We start from the raw sequence: 21,442 nt of genomic DNA, 5'->3' as shown, positions 1-21,442 counted from the left end.
CAACCTTTCCAGGTTTGTACTGGAACGAGAGCTAACTTTCTCAGTTTGGCAGTGATTTCATAACTGCCTACCTGTTGTCATCAATTTCTAAATAACAGTTAATCAGGTTAAATTTACTACAGACCCCTTTTGAATCCAGCAGATAATCTAATGCCAGTCTGTTTTGATAAACCGCATTTCTCATTCTGTGTAGATAGTACATCTAATAAATCTAAAGCTTTAGTTGTTTCTTTAGTTATAATTTTTAATACTGCTTGTAACCTAATGATGTGATTAATCATGTAGATGGGAGTACAGTATCCCCATGATCTATCTTGCACCCAGGTGGCTGGGCCATAATAATTCATTATTCTCTCTGCAATCTGTATCTTTCCAATCCCCTATTTCTATATCTTTTACTGCTCCTTTGTTTTTACTTCTAGGCTCATCATAAATAGGATACCCTAAAGTTTCTCCTTGCTTTAAAGGTAACAGGAAGAACGATGTTTTAGTAACACCTAATACACAAGCTCCTGTCCGTTTTTCTGGCAACCGCCTGTAGGCTTGCTGACCACAGATCCAGTAGAGGCCTACAGGCACTTACCATGTGTTTGGTGTTTCTAGTTGATACCAAGAGTGATTTAAAGAAGGGAACCTAGAAAATGGGATGAAATGAGATGGCCTTGAACTGTTTTTACCCTTTTTATTTTCTCTTTGCCATGGAGTTTTTCCTGTAGTTTCATTGTAGTATTGTTGCCCTAAACAAGCTAATTTGCCTGCTGGGTGTGTATAGGTAGTCCCCCAACGAGGTATGCAGTGTCTTCCTGTAATAGAAGCCTTTAAAAGCCAAGTGCTAGAGCCAGTAGGGATTAATTCTGGAGCATTTGTGGCAGAGAAAATTAAAGTGTAGTTGTCCTGGGGAAGCAATTCTTTTGCCTCCCAATGCCATCTATCCTCCATGTCAGTTACCATGAGGTAACTCCTAGATTTCCTGCTATATTCTTAGCTAATTGCACAGACAGATTTTTAGTGGTAAACGATGGCTCAGAAACTACTTGGTTAATTTCTTCACTGAATGACTTGAAAATTTTAAATCATTGCTGAGGTTTGTGAGCTTGAGTCTTTTTGATAATATAAAATAAAATAATATAAAATATATAATGGTATAATATAAAAATATATGGTGCTGTCGGTAGCCTGCACCCTGGAATATTTAATGCCTCATCTCTTTAGCTTAGGATCTGCCTCCTATTCTGTGGCTTCATCACTGTATCCCTCTGGGACTTCAGTGCCTATTGCCCAATTAGGTGAATCTGATTTGAAATAAGAAATTCAGTGAGGCTACAGGAATTTCCTCTTACACAATTGTCATAGTTATACCAATCTATGGAGAGGTTTCTGGAGAAATGTATGTCTTGAGACTGTGGAGTATCACTAATCCAGTATGGGATATGACTGGTTACAGTCAACTTTCTTTTGGAGTCAGGAATGTAGCAGCCAGTTTTAAGGAGTGTTCTTGTAATCTGGCAGGCATCTAAATACAGATACACACAGTGTTTATTGGTGGAGGGTATCCAGGTTGAATTTTAAAGAGTTCCTTTTTCAGACCTTTCACTAATGTCGAACCAAGTTCCAGGTAGAAGTTTGGGGTCATAGCAGACACAGGGCTGATTATCACCAAGATCACACATTGAATAAGTAGTCTGGTTATGTACACAAATTCCTAGAGAAGCTCCTGTTTGCTTATAAAGGGTTTGATATATAAAGGTTTTAACCTGTGTGTTCCTTGCCCAAGTAGTGTGGGTGCACAGAGAAAACTCAATTGTATTTCCGCCCCCTTTGTAAGTTTGACATATTAGTTAATATAAGCAAAACAGAGAGTAACATCTTCACACTAGGCACAGGCAGGGTATGTTTCTTCCTGAAAGCAAGGGTTGGCAACAATGGCAGTATAACAATAGTACAGCAAATATTACTAGAAGAGCAATAGGTATTAAAATATCAGTCCATATCTACTTTACTCATCTACTTATTTACTACTTTACTTATCTACTTATTTACTTATCTACTTATGAAATATCAGTCCATATCTTACTTATCCATATCCACTTATCTATTGAACACTCCTCAAGCTTTGGTCATGTGTAGAGTAGTCAGCTTCTTATTGTGTGACTACAGCAGGGCTTGGCGATTTTTCATTAACAGTTGGGTCTGAGGTCGGCTGGTCTGGGTTTGGTCTCTGTTGGCACCTCATCTTAGAGTTAGCTTGGTGGGTTGGTCGGGGTCTGGCTGGCTGGTCCACACATCCTAGGCAGCAGCTGGCTAACCCACTATGATGGATCCAGGGAAGCACTTCAGCAACCTTAACAGCAGTGGGGGTAGATAAGATTACTACAAAGGGCTCATTCCATATGTGCCTTAATGTGGATAGGTACCAGTTTTTGACCCAGCCAGAGTCCCTGGGTTTGTTGGTATGGGTGAACTGGGCTAGTTAGGCCTACTGGCAGTCTTCTTGCACCCAGCTTTGCAACTTCTCTCACGGCTGTACCTAAAGCTTGCATTTGCTTTCTCAGTGTTAGTTCCCGTACTTCTTTGAGATCTCCTTTAATTTGGAAAATAAGATGGGGAGGCCTTCCAAACAGAATTTCATAGGGTGAGTATCCAGTTTGCTTGTTTGGGGTGCATGTGATTCAAAGGAGAACCATGGACAGAGCCAGATCCCACTTTAGGTGGGTTTCTTGACAGAACTTTTTAAACAGTTGCTTTATTGTCCGGTTCATCCTTTCAACTTGTCCTGAACTCTGGGGATGGTGCGCAGTGTGCAGCTTCCATCTTGTTTTAATAATTGGGATAAGTTTTGAACAACTTCAGCGACAAATGTTGGGTCATTATCTGACCCGATAGTCAAAGGCACCCCAAACCTGGGGATAATATGTGCTAGTAATGCCCACGTTACTTCTTGGGCCTTTTCAGATTGGGTGGGGAAAGCTACTCACCCAGGATAGGTGCATACAAAGACCAATAAATACTTTAGTCCTCTTACATGGGGTAACTAAGTAAAATCTACCATCGGGTTCTCATGGGGTTGAGCCTAGTTGTATTCTAAAGGTAATGGTTTTGGGAAAAGAGGTAACTTACATTAAAGCTTCTTCCTGTGGTGCGGTTGCCATAGCTGCCTGCCTTGCTTGTCTGTCTGCCTATTTCCTATGGATTTATAGGACCCATCTGTTTGATGACCTTTGCAATGTATAATGGCCACCTTTTTAGGTGCCCAAACAGCATCTAAGAGTTGCGGGATCTCCTTTTTATTTTTGACTTCTTTTCCTGCAGCTGTTAGAAGTCTTCTGTCTTTATAGATGTCTCCATGAGCATAGAGGGTAGCAAAAGCATATTTAGAATCAATATAGATATTAACTATCCTCCCTTTTGCTGGTAATAAGGCTCTTGTTAAAGCAATCAGCTCAGCCTTTTGAGCAGAGGATCTAGTTGGCAGTGACTGTGCTTCTACTACTGTTCCCTCACCTGACTTAAAATCATTTATCACTACTGCATACCTGGCTCTGTAAACTCCGTCTGAAATGAAGCTGCTACATCTGTTAAATAGTCTAGGTCTGAGTTTTCAAAAGGCTGATCTTTTAAGTCTTTCCTGCTTGAAAACACTTTATCTACTACATCCTTACAACAATGTGATGGGAATTCTTTTGATTCTTCTGTAGGCAGCAAGGTAGCTGGATTTAGGGTATTCCCTATTTCTACAGTTATATTAGGATTTTCAAGTAACAGTCTTTGATATTTAGCAATTCTTGGATAGACAACCAGTGATTCCCCCTCTGGTCTAACAGGGTTATTACGGTGTGTGGCACCTGAAAGTTAACTTCTGTCCTAGTGTTAATTTGCCAGCCTCCTGGGCCAGCAAGGTAGTTGCCGTTAACTGCTTTAAAGCAGTGTGTCCAGCCTAATGCCACTGTGTCTAGTTGTTTAGATAAATAGGCCACAGGTCTATGCCATGATCCTAGCATTTGTGTTAAAATTCCTACTACTGTCCCTGTTCTTTCATCCACGTAGAAGAAGAAAGGTTTAGTCTGATCTGGGAGCCTATGTTAAGGCCTTTTTGATTTTTTTTAATGCTTTTGCTTGATCCGTCTCCCAGAAGAGGGACTCTTTCTTAACCCCCTTTGTAGCTTTATATAGAGCCTCAGCTAAAAGTGAGAAACTTGGGATCCAAATGCGGCAGAACCCTGCTGCACCTAAGAATTCTGATTTGGCGCCCTGTGGTACCTGTAGGGAGTGTACACATGGCCTCTTTCCGCTCACTACCAAGCTTCTTTTGTCCTTTGCTTATTATAAAACCTAAATATTTAACTTTAGGACAACAGATGCAAACCTTTTTTTTTTTTTTCTGAAATTTTATATCCAGCATTCATTAAGACACTGAGGAGTTCCTCCATGCCTCTTTGGCAATCCTTCTAATTTTTGGAGCTTTTTTTTTGATGTCACTTTGTGACTGGCTAACGAAGGCAGTATTTACCATTTTCTGGTTATCAGCTGCCTGTGGGTCAGATGTAGAGCCAGTAGGTTTCACACAGCTGCTCTTAGAACTGGCTGGGACTCTGATCGGGCTTTTGGAGGACTTCTGAAACTTTTCCTATGTTCATTGCTTTTCTTCCCTCTGACTTTACCCCATTTAGGAGTGCATCCACATACCTCTGTAGGCATTCTAAATGATCAGGGTTGTTTGGGACCCAATTTGGATCAGTGTCAGGGAACTGAGCTTCCGCATACTGCCTGGAATCATTTATGCATTCAGGGGCATTGTTTTCTAGCCATTGGAGGGCTGCTTGCACCACTCTGTGCCTTCCTTCTGTGCTAAATAAACTACTAATAATTGCTGATAGTCTGGCCAGGTAGGACTATGAGTCGAAAAGATTATTCTCGTATCAATTATTGCTTGTGGCTTTTCTGTGTATGATGGGTTATGATGTTTCCAGTTTAAAAGGTCAGTAGTGGAGAAGGGGAGATAAGAGTAAGTTTGTTCTCCACCTTGTACCCTTGATCATCAAGGTAGATTTGTGCCCACGTCTCTCTGAGCGGCATTTGCAGAGCTCGGGAACCACTGGACCTAAGACGCCCTGCCCTGCCTCTTCATCCTGTTTTTCCCTCCTAGTCTTAGGTGGCAAGGATGCAGCTTCTTCCTGCTGTGGAGATGCCCCGCTACTTTCTGAGCTTGTTTCTTCAGGAGACAATTGCCCTTCCTCTTATCTGAGCCTTGCTAAGGATGGGTAGAGAAGGGCATATGGAGAAGGATTCTCTAGCTTCTCCAAAGGAGCCTGTAAGATGTGTGTGTGTGTGTGTGTGTGTGTGTGTGTGTGTGTCTCTTTTGCTTCCTAGTTTCCTTCTCTAAAGGCTTGCATGATACTGTCTTTTTGATCCCTTTTGGACCAGTTCGGGCGACTAGGGTCTTACAATATTCAGCCATGCAGATTCCTAGCCATTTAGGGCAATTTTGGATTATATTTAACCAGGAATCAATATATGGAAATTGATCTGGGTGTCCATGCTGATCTGTTGCCCCTGTTATTATTTGAAACACCCTGCTGGTGATTTTCCAAACAAGGGTGCCCTCTGGCGGCCAACCAATGCCCAAACTAGGCTATTCTATTACACAAAGAGTTCTTAACCTTTGGCGGGGGTCAGCTTTACTCCATATTCCCCAGAAAATCCCTCCTTGAAATTCTTTAGCATGCACTCCAAAGGAGTGGGGGTTAATTCCTTAGGTTCTTTTCCTCCCATTTCTTCCCGCACGACGCAATGACCCTCACTTTCATTTCGGACCGATTAGACTGTCTCCCTCGTGGGGGTGTTTCAGACGCCAGACCCCGCTTGACTTTGGAGAGTTTGTTACTCTCTGCCACAATACCTAGACTGTGGGGCCACCTCCCTCAGCTGTATGCGGTAGCCCCAAAGGAAGTTCGCCTCTAGTCGTCCTGGGTCCAACATTTCACTCACAGCATACAGTCCACTCTAACAGACTTGCGGCCCCCACGCTTCACAGCTGATGAGCCTAGTTAGGCTCCCACATTCACACACATTCGTACACAACTCCTGTCCCCAGGACTCCTCATCAGATGAAACGAGTCTGTCTCGTGTCCTGGGTGGGTTCACACGTACCCACACACTCCCAGTTGGGACAGTTCACTCACACTGGTGACTTCACGGTTTCACTTTCTCTTTGCTCCCTCCGGCTCAGCAGGCTCTACCCTGCTGCCGGCTTCAGGGCTGAATGTCACATGAGTGGTGAGGTCCTTTCCTCACCGCCCCCATTCACCTTCTGGGTTAGGCTAATAGACAACCCTTGAGTGGTGATCAGTGCCCCACCCGCCTGGTAGGGCACGATTTGTGTCTGTCCCTGTAAGGCACCCTTTCTTACTCTGTAGGGCCCTCTTTTCTTACCGTGATTCCTTTTCACTGCGCTGAAAGTTGTCTTGCGGTCTCCTTCCTGCGCTATCAGGGGCAGGGCCTTGGGATGTGGGAGAACCCAGCCCTTTTTTGGAAAACTCTTCGGTCGGCGCGCCTAAGAACTGGGTCTCCCCCGACCCCGGGGCCCAAGTCCCACAGTCAAAGGAGACAGTAGCTTGTCCTCTCTCTCCTCTTGTCGAACTCTCCAAAATGTCGCAGTAAAACTCAGCCAAAGAAGACAAAGAGACCTTTGGAGACCAAAAACAACTTTAATTGAGGCACCTGAGCCAGTAGGCTCACGCCCAAAATGGCTGCCGACCCTGACAAAGAATGCAGGCTTGCTTACATGTTGTTTGAGGCGGGAAAACAAGGCAGGATACCGGTTTCAGACAAAGACAGTAAATTATTTAACCTGTGACAATTCTGAGAAAGCTTACAATTTAGTTATCTTGACCAGTCAGGCTCGAAGCTGGACAGAGCTGGGGTAAGGGAAAACAGGAACGACAGGAATGTGCGGGGGGTCTGGAGGCAGGCAATAAGCTTGGAAGGTTGAGATAAGCTCGCAGCTGCAACCTGTTAGCAATGCTGGGAGGGGCTGCTTAAATTTCTTAGCCTATGTATAACTTCTAAATAACCACACTTAATGTTAACTATTATCTATGTTATGTTTATTATTTTCAACTTTATTATTATTTATTTTATTTTATTTTCCTTCCACAGATTCAGGTCCATGCTGTTTTATATGTAGTTGTATAGTTTCCAGCATTTCTCTTGTATTGATTTCTAGTTGTATTCCAGTATGGTCTGAGATGTTATTTCATATAGTTTCATTGTTTAAATATGTATTAGAACTTCTTTGTATCCTGATATGTGGTCTGTCTTGGAGAATGTTCCATGTGCAGATGAAAAGAATGTATGTTCTACAGTTGTTGGATAGAATGTTCTGTAATTTTTTATGTTCATTTGGCCTGAAGTCCAGTTTAAGTCCAATCTTTTTGTTGATTTCTCTAAATGATTTGTTTAATGCTGTGAGTGAGGCGTTGATATCCCTCCCCTACTCTTAATGTATTGAGATATATGTCCCTTTGGGTCTAGTAATATTTGTTTTATGAATCTGAGTGCTGGAGTGATGGGTGCATATATTTAAAATTGTTATATCCTCTGGCTAAATTGATTCTGTTATCATTATAAAATGTCTTTTAATGTGTGTTTTATCCTTTTGACTTGTCTCTTTTATCTGATACAATGATACCTACTCTTGCTCACTTTTGGTTTCTGGTTTTATTGAATATCATTTTCCATGCCATACCTATGTTTATATGAACCTTTCCATGTAAGGTAAATTTCTTGTAAGCAGCAGTTAGTTGGATCATGTTTTAAAATCTCTTCAACCAGTCTTAGGCCAGGCGCACTGGCCTACGTTGGGAGGGCAAGGAGGGTAGATCACTTGAGGCCAGGAGTTTGAGACCAGCCTGGCCAACATGATGAAAACTCATCTCTACTAAAAATGCAAAAATTAGCTGAGTATGGTGGTGCGTGCCTGAGTCCCAGCTACTTGGGAGGCTGAGGCCGGAGAATTGTTTTAACCTGAGAGGTGGGGGTGGCAGTGAGCTGAAGTCACATCACTGCATTCCAGCCTGGATTACAGAGTGAGACTGTCTGAAAAAGTAAAGTAAAATACAGTTTCTTAAGTCAATCTGTATTTTTCAAGTAGAATACTTTATCTGTCTATATTTTAGGTTATTATTGATATGTGAGGTTTTGTTCCTATCATATTGTAAATTGTTTTCTAGTTCTGTGAAATTTTCTTTCTATTGTCTGTTTGCCAGTGTGGAATTCTGTAATGATTCCCTTTGATTCATCACACTTCCTTTTTGTTTGATTGCTTCAACCAGTTAGTTTTATACTTTCTTGTGTTTTCATGATGGTAAATGTTATTCTTTCTTTTCCAAGCCTCTGGCTACTTTAAGCATATGTTAGGCTAGGCAATTAGTGATGAATGTTCTCAGCGTCTCCTTTTTGAGGGAAGATTTTGTTTCATTTATGTAGATAAGTCTTGCTGGGTATATTTTTCTTCTCAGATTTTTTCCCTTCAGTACTTGGAATATACCCATTCTCTTCTATCTTGTGAAGTTTCTACTCAGAAGCATGCTATTTGTTTGATGTAGATTTATTTACACATGACCAGGTGATATTCTCTTCCTGTTTTTAGTTTCATTTTCACTTTGCCTTTTGAGTTTGATTATAATGTGTCATTGCAAAGAACTGTTTGTGTTTTATCTGTTTGTGTGTGGATTGTTGAGCCGTCTGTATCTAGAAGTCTAAATCTCTTGTTAGACATGGGACGTTTTCATCTACTATTTTGTAATAGGTTTGCTAAACCCTTTGATGTCTCTGCTCGTAGATAGCAGTGGTCCATAAATTTTGTCACTTTTTGTTGTCCGAAATGTCTCAAAGGCTTTGTTCATTCTTTTTATTTTATTGATTGATTGATTGATTATTTCAAAGACCCATCTGAAGTACTGAGATTTTTTTTTTCTGCCTGGTTTAGTCTAGTGTTGGAACTTTTGAATGTATTTAATATTTCCTTTAATGAAATTTTCAATTCCAGAATTTTTTGTTTTGTTTTGCTTTCTTTAAATCTTTTTCCTTGATTATCAATTCCTCATTCACATCCTGAATTGTTTTTCTGGGTGCTTTATATTGGTTTTGAATTTTCTCTTGCGTCTCATTGAGTTTCCTTGAAAACAACATTCAGATTCTTTCTTTAGGATCTTGAATGTCTTTTTGCCTCAAATCTATAGTTTTCTTTTAGTAGTGTCATATTTCTTTGCTTTTTCATGTTTCCTGTGTCTTTAGGTTGATATCTGTATAACAGTTGCTTTTGCCTATTGAATTTACTTTTGTTGTGTGGGGACTTTATCCTGAAGGTGGGTTTGTGATGTTGATTGGGTAGAGCCCTTTGGCTTTGTGTCTGGGTAAGGGCAGCAGTGAAGTCTCTGATTTATTTGGCAGTATATACCCTTAATGGTACCTGTGGTTTCCTTGGTATACTAGGATGTGGTTACTAATGGAGGCTGTGGAGAAATTTGCTGGAAACTGCAGTGCCAGTTAGGCCTGTAGTCAGGTTTCACTGGTCTCAGTGGTGTGCTTGTTGTTAACATCCTTTTGCCTACGACATTGTTTGCCAGCATCTGTATTGGCAATTCCAGGTGGACCACGTGGTGGGCCTCTGGGTGGACTTCTTAGATGCCAGTGTGGTAGCAGTGGATTGGGTGGGTAAATGAGTTTCTGAGCCCCTAGGTGGTCAGTGTAGTGTGTGCAGTGATACTAGCATCGGTAGTATGTTCTGCTTCCTGTGTTTGTGCACTTGTGTTGTCAGTGATTGCAGCTGGCTGTGTGACCTGGACTTCAGGCCTGTAGGTGGAGCTTATAGGTAGGCAACTGCTGGAGATAGTTAGTAGTGGAAGTGTGTTTATACCTAAACTGTGCCCCAGGGGGAATACTTGGATTCCTCAAATAGTGAATTGTGTTATACAATTCCTAGGTCCCTTGACATCTTCATTTTCAGAAATGGGAGGGGGGATAATGCTGGGCAGAGCCAGACTGATCTGACACTTCATGATCTTTGTGGTTGTATACAAATTTTAGAATTTTGTTTTCTATTTTTGTGAAGACCGTCATTGGTATTTTGATAGGCACTACATTGAGTCTGTAGATTATTTTGGGTGAATGTGGAAATTTTTTTAATTTTGTGTATCTTTTTCAGTTTCCTTCATCAATGCCTTTAGTTTTCATTGTGGAAATCTTTGAGTTCAGTAATATTTATTTCTAGGTATTTTATTTTTGGAGCTGTTGTAAATGGAATTGCTTCCTTGATCTTTTTCAGGTTATTTGCTATTGCTGTATGTAAATGGTAATTTTTACATGTTGATTTCATTTTGTGCAACATAACTGCATTTGTTTATGAATTTCTACAGTATTTTGGGGGGAGCGTTTAGGTTTTTCTGTACGTTCACGTCTTCTGTGAATAAGGATAATTTGATTATTTTTTAATCATTTGAATGGGTTTTATTTCTCTTTCCATAATTTCTCTGGCTATGACTTTTCTGCACTATGTTGAATAAAAGTGGGCATCCTTGACTTTTTCCAGATCTTTGAGGACAAAATCTTTGAATTTCTCCGTTTGGTATCTGTTAAAGCAGTTACATGGTGTTTGTTCTTGACTCTTTTAATGTGATGCGTCAATCACATTTATTACTTTTTTTTTTGTTTGAACCATTGCTGCATGCAGTAGATGAGTCCTCTTTTGGGGAGATTATGATGACGAAAAAGATCATGTTGAATGATCTTTTTGTAGTATTGCAGAACTCAGTTTGCTAGTATTTTTTAAGGAGTTTTGGATGTGTTCATCAGGGAAATTTGTGTGTGCACGCATCTGTGTGTTTGTGTTCTGATTTTGATAGCAGGATGTTAGCCTCATTGAATGAGTTTGGAGAAATTCTCTCATCTTTAATTTTTTTGAAGTAGCTTGAGTAGAAGTGATGTTAATTCTTCTCAAAATATTTGGTAGAATCCTGTAGTGCAATCATCAGGTCCTGGCTTTTCTTTAATGGGAGACTTTTTATTACTGCTTCAATCTTGCTACAATTTATGGATCTGTTTGGGATTTCTCTCTCTTTATGATTTAATCTTGGTAGATTATATATGTCCAAAAACTTAATTATTTTCTACAGGTTTTCCATGTTGTTGGTACACAGTTCATAGAAGCCTGTGAATGATCCCTTGAATTTCTGTGGTTTCAGTTATAATCTCTTTTTTTTCCTCTCTTATTTTATTTGTATTGGTCTTTTTTCCTTTTCTTTTAGTCTAGTTAAAGGTTTGTCAACACCATTTTTTCAAAATAGCCATGTTTTTAGGCTGTTCAAAAATATAAACCAAAAAAAATCCCTCTGTCAACCCGGTTGGAGCATAGTGGCACAAACTCTGCTCACTGCAACCTCCACCTCTCTCCCAGGCTCAAGCCATCCTTCCACCTCAGCCTCCTGCATAGCTGAAACCCCAGGCACATGCCACCATGCCCAGTTAATTTTTTTTTTTTTTTTGTATTTTTGTTAGAGATGGAGTTTCACCATGTTGTCTGGGCTGGTCTAGAGGACAATTGATCTGCCCACCTGGGCCTCCCAAAGGACCAGTATTACAGGCATGAGCCACATTGCACTCCAGCCTTATAAACAAAATTGATAAAAACCACTAGCTAGACTAATGAAGGAAAGAATAGAGAGGATCCAAATAAGCACAATCAGAGATGATAAAAGAGATCACAATTGATAACACAGAAATAAAAAAGGTCAGAAGGTCATCAGAGATTGTTATGAATGAATGTGTACTCACAAACTAGAAAACCTGGAGGAAATGGATAAATCCCTCAAGGTACACAACCTCCCAAGATTTAACCAGGAAGAAATAGAACTTCTGAACAGACAGTAAGGAGTAGCAAGATTGAATCAATAATAGCAAAATCTTTTGACAAAAAAAGCCTAGGATCATATGGATTCACAGCCAAAATCTGACAAACATACAAAAAATAACTAGTACTAATCTTTCAGAAACTATTGCAAAAAAATGAGGAGGAGGGAATTCTTTGTAACTCATTCTGTGAGGCCAATATCACTCTGATTTTAAACCAGGCAATGGCACAAGAAGAAACTACAGGTCAGTATTCCTGATGAACATAAATGCAAAAATCCTCTACAAAAGACTAGCAAAATGAATCTATTAATGTATTAAAATGATAATGTTATAAGTTAAGTTTCAGTGCCACAAAAGAAATAGCACTTGAATATAAAATTTTCTTTTTTTCTTCTCAGCAAGGCAATTTACTTTTATAGAAGGGTGTGCCCTCACAGATGGAGCAGTTGTGAGTGCACACCTGAATAAGGGACTTATTCCTGACACACATGGCCCCTGCTGCCCTATGGGCTAGGGTTAGACCTCACAGGCAAAACTAATTCCTATTGGCTAATTTAAAGAGAGTGACAGGGTAAATGATTTGGCGGGAAAAATGGTTATGGCAGAGCAGGAAATCAAATGAGTCAGGGTGGAGAATGAGTCAGGGCAGATCAGGTAATCGGAATTAGTTAGGGTGGAGCAGGAAATCGGAATGAGTTAGGGTGGTGCAGGCAATCAGAATGAGTCAGGGTGGAGCAGTAATCAGAATGAGGGTGGAGCAGGTGATCCACAAAGGTTGCTTTATGAGGAAGTTAAGTTTAAAAGTAGAAGGCAAAGAATTGAACATACAGACATATTGACTCTTTGAAGAGAAATTTAGAACTCATATCTAACAATTATAAATGGTGATCAGGTGGGATTTACCCTAGGGAACCAAGGATGGTTTACCATACACAAGTCAGTAAGTATGATATATCACGTGCAAGCAGAATCAAGGACAAAAACTTGATTTTCTCAGTAAATGTAGAAAAAGCCCTCAATGAAATTCAGCATCCCTTTATTTTAAAAATCCTTAATAACTAGACATGAAGGAACATACCTCAACCCACAATAAAGGCTGAATATGACAGACTCGCAGCCAACATCCTACTTATTGAGAAAGAATTGAAAGCATTTCCCCAGGAGTTTGGCCAAACCAAAGATCCAACTTTCACTACTGTTATTTAAAATAGTTCTGGAAGTCTGTGCCAGAGCAGTCATGCAAGAGAAAAAGAAATAAAGATATACAAATTGGAAAAGAGGAAGTGAAATTATCCTGATTTGCTGGTGATACGCTCTTATGTACAGAAAATTCTGAAAATTAAAAACTCTTAGATTTGATAAATGCATTCAATAAAGTTGCAGGATACAGAATTAATAAACAAAATTCAGTAGCATTTCTGTGTAACAGTAGTGATCTAGCCAAGGATCAAATCAAGAAGGCATTGCCATTTGCAATAGCTACAAAAAAATATATAGGAATATATTTAACCAACGAGGTGAAAGATCTCTGTAAGGAGAACTATGAAATGCTGGTGAAAGAAGATGACACAAACAAGTGGAAGAACATCCCATGATCCTGCATTAGAAGAATAAATATTGTTAAAATGACTAACTGCCCAAAGTAGGCTTCAGATTCAACACAATCCCTATCAGATTATCCATGTTATTTTTTCACAGAATGAGAAACAGTCTTAAAATTCATTATGAAATCAAACAAGCCTAAATAGCCAAAGCAATTCTAAGCAAAAAGAACAAAGCTGGAGGTATCGTATTACCTGACTTCAAATTACACCTTAAGCCTACAGTAACCAAAATATCATGGTATTTATATAAAAATAGACACATTAGGTTGCTGGAACAGAATCAAGAATCCGAGAATAAAACTACATACCTACAAACCAGCTGTTATTAGACAAGGTCAACAAAAGTATGCTTTGTGAAGATGACACCCTATTCAATAAATAGTGTTGGGAAAATTGGATAGCCACATACAGAGGAGTGAAATTGTACCCATACCTTTCACCATGTACCAAAATTAACATAAGTAAAGACCTAAACCTAAGACTTGTATCTATAAAAATTATAGAAGAAAACTTAGGACAAACTCTTCTGAAGATTGTACTGACAAATAATTTATGAGCAAGTGCAAATGCACCAAAACCAAACGTAGAGAAACAGGACTTAACTAGAATCCAAAGCTTCTGCACATCGAAGGAAATAATTAGTAAACAGACAACCGACAGAATGAGAAAACATACTTGCAAACGATGCATCAGACAATGAGCTAATACCCGAGATCTACAAGGAACTTAAATATTGCAATAAGTAAAATACAACCCCATAAAAATTTGGGCAAAGGGTATGAACAGGCATTTTCCAAAAAGACATGTAAGCAGCCAAGAAACATGAAAAAATGTTCAGCATCACTAATCATCAGGTAAATGCACATCAAAACCACAATAAGATACCATCTTCCCAAGTCAGAAGGGCCATTATCAAAAAGTCAAAAAGCAAAATATGCTGGTAAGTACATGTTAAAAAAGGAAAGGCTTATATACTGTTACAGAAGGTCTGTTTGGTTTAGAGAGCAGTTTACCTGTGATGTTTCTTTATTTTCTGTTTGAATGATCTATCCATTGCTGAAAATCATGATTGTGTGGCAGTCGATCTTTCTCTTTAGGTCTGTTAATACTTGTTGCATAAATCTGAGTGCTCCAGTTTGGGGTGCATATATATTCGTAATTGTTATATTCTCTTGCTTTATTGTTACCCTTGTCATTGTGTAATGTCCTTTTTTACATTTCTTTCCCACTCTTGACTTTAAGTGTGTTTTACCTAATATAAGTAAAGCTACTCTTGCCTCCTTGTTTTCCATTTTTGTGGAGTGTCTTTTTATATTTTTGTTTCAGTCTGTGAGTATCTTTATAGGTGAAGTGAGTTTCTTGTAGACAGCATATTGTTCAGTGTTTTAAAAAATCTGTTCAGCCACTATGTCTTTTAATTAGATAATTTAAAAAACTTAACAGTCAGCATTCTTATTGATAGGCAAAGGTTAACTTGAGGCAATTTTATTATTTGTTCCCTGGTTGTTTTGTAGATCGTTTGTGTTTTTCTCTCTTACTGTCTTCCTTTGTAATTAAGTGATTTTTCTCTAGTAGAATGTTTTGATTTTGCAGTATTGATTGTAGTGTCCATGTACAGCTTTTTGCTGTGTGATTGCCAGGAGGTTTACAGAAAAAATTTGGTAATTTTAACAGTTTATGTGATTGCAAAGAAATGGCAAGTTACAAAAACTACAGTTTAATATTCCTGCCCTCCACATTTTGAATCTTGGACATTACAGTTTAATCTTTTAATATCGCCACTTCACTTGTTGTAGCTGTCATTGTTTTCAATAGTTTTGATTCCATTTTAGTGTCCATACTGAGATAAATGGTTTATTTACCGCAATTACAGTGTTCGACTTTTCTGAATTTGTCCTTTTTTTAAGCCAATGAGCTGAATACCTTCAGATATTTTCTTTTACACATTACTCTCCTTTTCTTTCAAGTTGAAGACTTTTTTTTTTTAAGCATTTAAGACAGTTTTGGTATTTGAATTTCCTCAGCTTTTGTTTTTCTGGGATAGACTTTTCTTTCTTTCGTGTTTGAAAGATACCTTTTGAATACAGTATTTGTGGTTGGCAGTTGTTTTCAAAGCTCTTTGAGTATAGCATCTCACTCTACTGCAGAAACCTGCAGGATTTCTGCTGGGAAATTTGCTTAAAGTTATATTGGGGCTCTATTGAATGCGATATTTCTTTTTTCCCTTCACTTCGAGTATTATTTTGCTTTGTTTTGAGTTTTGATAATTCGATATTGATGTGCCTTGTGTATTTTGTTTTTGGATCGAATTTATTTGGTTACTGCTGAGCTTCTTTACTTGGTGGTGCCATGTTTCTCTAGCATTATGAAATTATTTTCCTAAATACACATCCTAGGCCTGTCTCTTTCAGGAATGTTTATTATGTGGAGGCTTTTTTTATGTGATAATTACCCATAATTCTTGTAAGCCCTCTATTTTTGCACCTTTGTGTAATTTCACATGGTCTTTCTTGATGCTTGGTAATTCTTCCTTCATTTTTCAAAGTCTGCTTTTGAAAGTGTCTGATTTTTTTTTCTGTTCAGTTATTGCATTCTTTATTTTTAGTATTTCTGTTTGGTTTGTTTTTTTATTTATTCGTGTCAATTTTCTTATTTTTTTTTCCTGGCTTGTTGTCCAGGTTTCATTTACTTTTCTTTCTCTGTTTTCTTGTGATTATCTGAACCTCAGGAGGGTTATTCTGAATTCTCCATCTGACATCTTATAGATCTTCACTTCTTTTGGGTACATTGCTGGAGCATTGTTGGTTTCTTTTGGTTGTATCTGTTTCCTTCAGTTTCTGCAATCATTGTGACTTTATGTAGATGCTGCACCTTTGAGGAAATAGCCTCCTCTTCCAGTTTTTGCAAGTGTTCTTTGGTGGTTTAGACCTTTACTACTTAGTATTGCAAATAAACACTGGACTGTTTTCTTTTCCCATTTTGGAGAAGACTCATAGTGACCACCAGAACTAAAACATTGGACAGGAACAAACTCATTGCCCTGTAGGTAGGTGGTTCCTAGTTTGGGGAACTTACAGTGAACACAAAATATTAAATGCTGCTGCAAAACTAAATTGCTACTCTGTTATGTTCCCCTTCTGGGGAAGACTTAAATAGTTACTGGAACTTAATGCTGACCTTTTGCTCATTTCCAGACGAGGGAAAGACTGCTTTGGATATCGAGGCCCTGTGGAAAATCTCAACAGAAATTTGGACCTTACTGCATATTGTGCCCCTTGTAGTACCTTGGTGCCAACTGGTCTCTTTAATGTGTTTCTCCTTCTGTTTGTAGTTCAAAGTATTCACCAGGATTCTTTCACCAGTCAGTGTGGTCCACAATCTGTTGTCTGTCCCCAGTTCACTCCAGGTGGGTCAGGCTTTCTGGCATTCCTAGTAGTTCTTGTGGGATAGGACCAAAGTGTGTTTTCTGTGAAGATTCTGAGATGGTAGAGGATGTAGAATGTTTACATCCACTTTCCTCCTCTCACCTTCGAAACTGTGGTTCTGGGGAAGTTTTCTGAGAGTATTTATGCTTGCTTGGGAGAGAGGAGAGCACAGTCTAAAACAATGATTTTCCTTGCCAGTTGCAGAATGTGGTTTTAATTAGCATTTTATTTGTGACTAATGATATTAAACATCTTTTCATGTGCTTATTTGCCTCTTTAGTGCATTTTTTGATAATGTGTATATGTGTCTGTGTTTTGCCTAAATTCTAATGAATTGTTTTGAAACTGCTGAGTTTTGAGAGTTCTTTATTGATTCTATTTACTAGTACTTCGTGGGATATGTGGTTTGTGACTACTTTCTCCCTGTTTGTTTTTTGTCTTTTCATCCACTGAATACTGGGTTTTCTTTAAGTACATTGGAATAATATTACTTTTGATAGTCTATAATTTCATGAATTTGTTTTTCACTTTGATGTCTGGAACATAGTTTTCTTTTTGTTAGCTTTTCCTATGTTTTTAGAGACAAGGTCTTAGTACATTGCCTAGGCTGCTCTTGAACTCCTGGGCCTAGGCAGTCCTCTTGTCTCTCTCTGTTTTTTTATTTTGGAGACGGGATCTCTCTCTGTCGCCCAGGCAGGAGTGCAGTGGTGCAGTCTCCGCTAACTGCAAGCTCTGCCCCCCGGGTTCAAGCGATTCTCCTGCCTCAGCCTCCTGAGCAGCTGGTACTACAGGCATCCACCACCACATCCAGCTAATTTTTGTATTTTTAGTAGAGACAGGATTTCACTGTGTTAGCCAGGATGGTCTTGACCTCCTGACCTCTTGGTCCGCCCGCCTCCAAAGTGATGGGATTACCTACATGAGCCACCATGCCCAGCCTCTGGTGGTTTTTGTTTTGTTTTGTCTTGTTTTGTTTTGAGATGGAGTTTTGCTCTGTCACCCAGGCTGGAGTGCAGTGGCACAATCTCAGCTCACTGCAACCTCCACCTCCTGGGTTCAAGCAATTCTTGTGCCTCAGCCTCCCGAGTAGCTGGGACTATAGACGTGCCCCTCCATGCCCAGTTAATTTTTGTATATTTAGTAGATACGGGGTTTAACTGCGTTGGCCAGGCTGGTCTCAAACTCCCGACCTCGTGATCTGTCCACCTCGGCCCTCCAAAGTGATGGAGTTACAGGCATGAGCCACCACATCCAGCCATTCTCTCTCTATATTTTTAAAGCAGGCCTTCTTGTGTAAGTGGGTGAATGTGCATAGTGAAGTTTCTAGTGGAGTTTGTTGATACTCTCTTTAGGGTTAGGTGAAAGCTGGACATTGTTATCTTTTAGAGCATGAGGATGTAGTAACTGAGGTGAGTTCCCTTCTGGGCTCTTCTGATGGAAGGGAAGGTTGGGGCAATCAGAATGCCAACTATGGTCTGCCCAATTCTGCCTGGTTGATGCTAGTAGTATGTAGTGACACAACTTCCTGTTGGGCCTTGCTAACAGGTATAAAAAAAGAGGTTGCAAACTTCCAAATAACTTCAGTGCCCCTGTTCTTTTCTCCCACATAAATAAAGCTTATCTCTCCACAGGGCCCTCTTTATAATATCCTGCTGGGTGAAATGGAGTACTGCCTACTTTCACTAGATGGAGATATACAATTAACTCCAATTTCATTATTTACTGACACCATCTGGTTAGAAAAATTGGAGCACTGCCTGGTTCAAATGACAAAGGGGTAGTACGTCAGCTTTTGGTTCGGCCTTGCCTAAAATACCCTGTAGTGGAATCTTTGTGCCATAATCTGCTTCTACTTTGTAGAGAATGAAAGATTTACTCATCTCTTTGTTGATACTCCAGAAGAATCCGGAGTACCAGTTCCCTTTGCCAGCAAAGGATGGAAGATAAGCTTTTGGCTTGTTCTGCTGACACTGCTCTGCTGGGAAATTGTGGTATGCAGTCTGCTTCCTAGTGGTAATTGGGATAAGAATATCAGTTTCCTTTTTAGCCCTATTGCAGCCGTATTATGTCTGTGCGTGGTGGAGTGTAGGAGAATGCAACTGTACTTTTTTTACCCTGTGGTTTCTGGCAGTGTTGTGGATAAGTTTTCAGTTTCTATGCCATTCTTTTCCTGGTGTTTTGGCTAGGAGTAATAGGATTTTTTTAGTGGCCTGGGTTGGAGCCTTCAGCAATACCCTGTCTGTAACATATAGAAGGCAACAAGGAAAAACGGGCACTTGCCATATTGTCATTCTTTGAGTCCCAATGTCTGTATGCAGTCCTGCTTCTGGTTTTATCTTAAGAATTTTGAGATGGGTCCTGAAGAGTACTCAGTCCTCATACTGGTAATTCCCAAACACTTAGGTGAGATCTTTAATTCACTGCTCTCTATGTGCATATTTTTCCAGTCTGTTTGATGATAGTAGTTATGGATCTTGGTTTTGTAGACATTGTTCTCTCTGGTTCTTTCAATAGCTTTTTCCCTGATATTGGTAATTTTCTTAAGAAGAGTTTAAACCACTTCAGATCTCTGAAGCTGCCTTTGTAGCTCTCTACTTTTTAGAATTCTGTCTCAAGATCTCTTGATTAGTTATGTTGGTTTCCTTACACTCACAGATCTAGTTCTTCATCCAAGCAGTCTCCATGGTTTTACCTGCTTTATCTTGTGTCATTGATATTGCCATTACGGAGTTTATATCAGTTGTTTTTACTTTTCATTCAGAGATACTATCTTTCTTAATTGATATACATTATTCAACTTCTCTTTAATGATTCTTTTTTCCCCTTTCAGTTTTTTTGGGAAAACCAAGAAGTCTTTTAGTACCTGTCTTTTAGTGTCCTTCTTTATTGAACTTTGTTTTTATTATTTCTTGAAATCACTTCTAGGCAAATGAAGCTAGTTGGATTTTGATGTGTTCATTTTATTGTGTTTTCATACTGTCTTCTACTTATGCTCAGTTTCTATTTCTCATGGCGAGGGTTGAAGTTTTTTGTAAAATAAGGTATATAGTATGAGCTGTTTTTAAGAAAAATATTAAGCAAATTGTAATAAATCTCAGTGGATGTTTGAAAATACTTTAGTTATACTTGAATAAGAAGTTTGGAAGATGAATTAGGAAGAAATAGAAAATGTTCTAGGCATATAACATTTTGGCAAGCAAAAGTCTAATTTAAATGGTTGACATTTTGTGACAAATATGTTGTTATAATAATTTTCATTTGTTTATGAGCATGCATATTTCCTGTTTGTTTATATTTTATATTCCTCACACCAACATCTTTTTATGTTATGAATTAATCGATCAAGAGTTGAAATAGTGACACTTATTGAACTACTGTTGTTTCCTAGGTAGAATATAATAGCATTTCTATTAAAAAAAATTATAGTAGACACAGTTGATATGTTGCTCTTTCTCTCTTTTTAAAACTTTTAGATTTGGGGGCACATGTGAAACTTTGTTACATAGGTAAACTCATGTCACTAGGGCTTGTTCTTCAGATCATTTTATCAGCCAGGTATTAAGCCTGGTACCCAATAGTTATCTTTTCTGCTCCTCTCCCTCCTCCTACCCTCCACTCTCAAGTAGATCCCAGTGTCTCTTGCAGTATTTGATTTTCTGTTCCTGTTTTAGTTTGGTAAGGATAATAGCTTCCAGCTCCATCCATGTTCCTGCAAGAGACGTGATCTTATTCCTTTTTATGGCTGCTTAATGTTCCATGGTGTATATGTACCACATTTTCTTTATTTACTCTTTAATTGCTGGGCATTTAGGTTGATTCCATGTGTTTGTTGTTGTGCATAGTGCTGCAGTGAACATTCACATGCCATGTGTTTGCTATTGTGCATAGTGCTGCAGTGAACATTCATATGCATTTGTCTTTGTGGTACAATGATTAATACTATAAATCATCATTTATACTACTTATATAATATAGTGAGAATATACTCTGGGGGTATATACCCAATAATGGGATTGCTGAATCAAATGGTAGTTCTGCATGGGTTTAGCTCTTTGAGGAATTGTTATACTGCTTTCCACAATGGTTGAACTAATTTATTTACACTCCCACCAAGGGTGTGTAAGTATTCTCTTTTCTCAGCAACTTTGCCAGCACCTGCTATTTTTTGACTTTTTAATAGTAGCCATTCTGATTGGTGTGAGGTGGTATCTCATTGTGATTTTGATTTGCTTTTCTCTAATAATCAGTGATACTGAACTTTTTTTTCTCTATGCTTGTTGGCTGCATATATGTCTTTTGAAAAATGTTACTTTATGTCCTTTGCCCACTTTCTAATGGGGTTGTTTTTGTCTTGTAAATTTAAGTTCCTTATGGAGACCTTTGTCAGATGCATACTTTGAAAATAGTTTATTCCATTCTGTAGATTGTCAATTTACTATGCTTGGTTTGCTTACTCTGTTTTGCTCTGCAGACGCTCTTACCTTTAATTTGATCCCCCTTGTCACA

The 21,442-nt window shown here is 38.9% G+C and overlaps 1 protein-coding gene across 123 annotated transcripts in view; it reads left to right on the top strand.

Moving 5' to 3' along the window:
- UTY (ubiquitously transcribed tetratricopeptide repeat containing, Y-linked) overlaps positions 1-21,442 on the top strand; it is a 246,776-nt gene that overhangs the window by 38,352 nt on the left and 186,982 nt on the right. The window contains exon 5 of one of the 123 annotated variants that reach the window (NR_047632.1): positions 2,553-2,632. The exons of the other annotated variants lie outside the window; for them this stretch is intronic. The gene's annotated coding sequence lies outside the window, so the exon portion shown is untranslated. The remainder of the gene's footprint in view (positions 1-2,552; positions 2,633-21,442) is intronic. 123 annotated transcript variants of the gene reach the window in all.

This window comes from Homo sapiens, chromosome Y (genome assembly GCF_000001405.40).
Source record: "Homo sapiens chromosome Y, GRCh38.p14 Primary Assembly".
NCBI classification, from domain to species: Eukaryota; Metazoa; Chordata; class Mammalia; order Primates; family Hominidae; genus Homo; species Homo sapiens.
The sequence above is the reverse complement of the archived record's forward strand: the minus strand, read 5'-3'. Positions and strand labels throughout refer to the sequence as shown.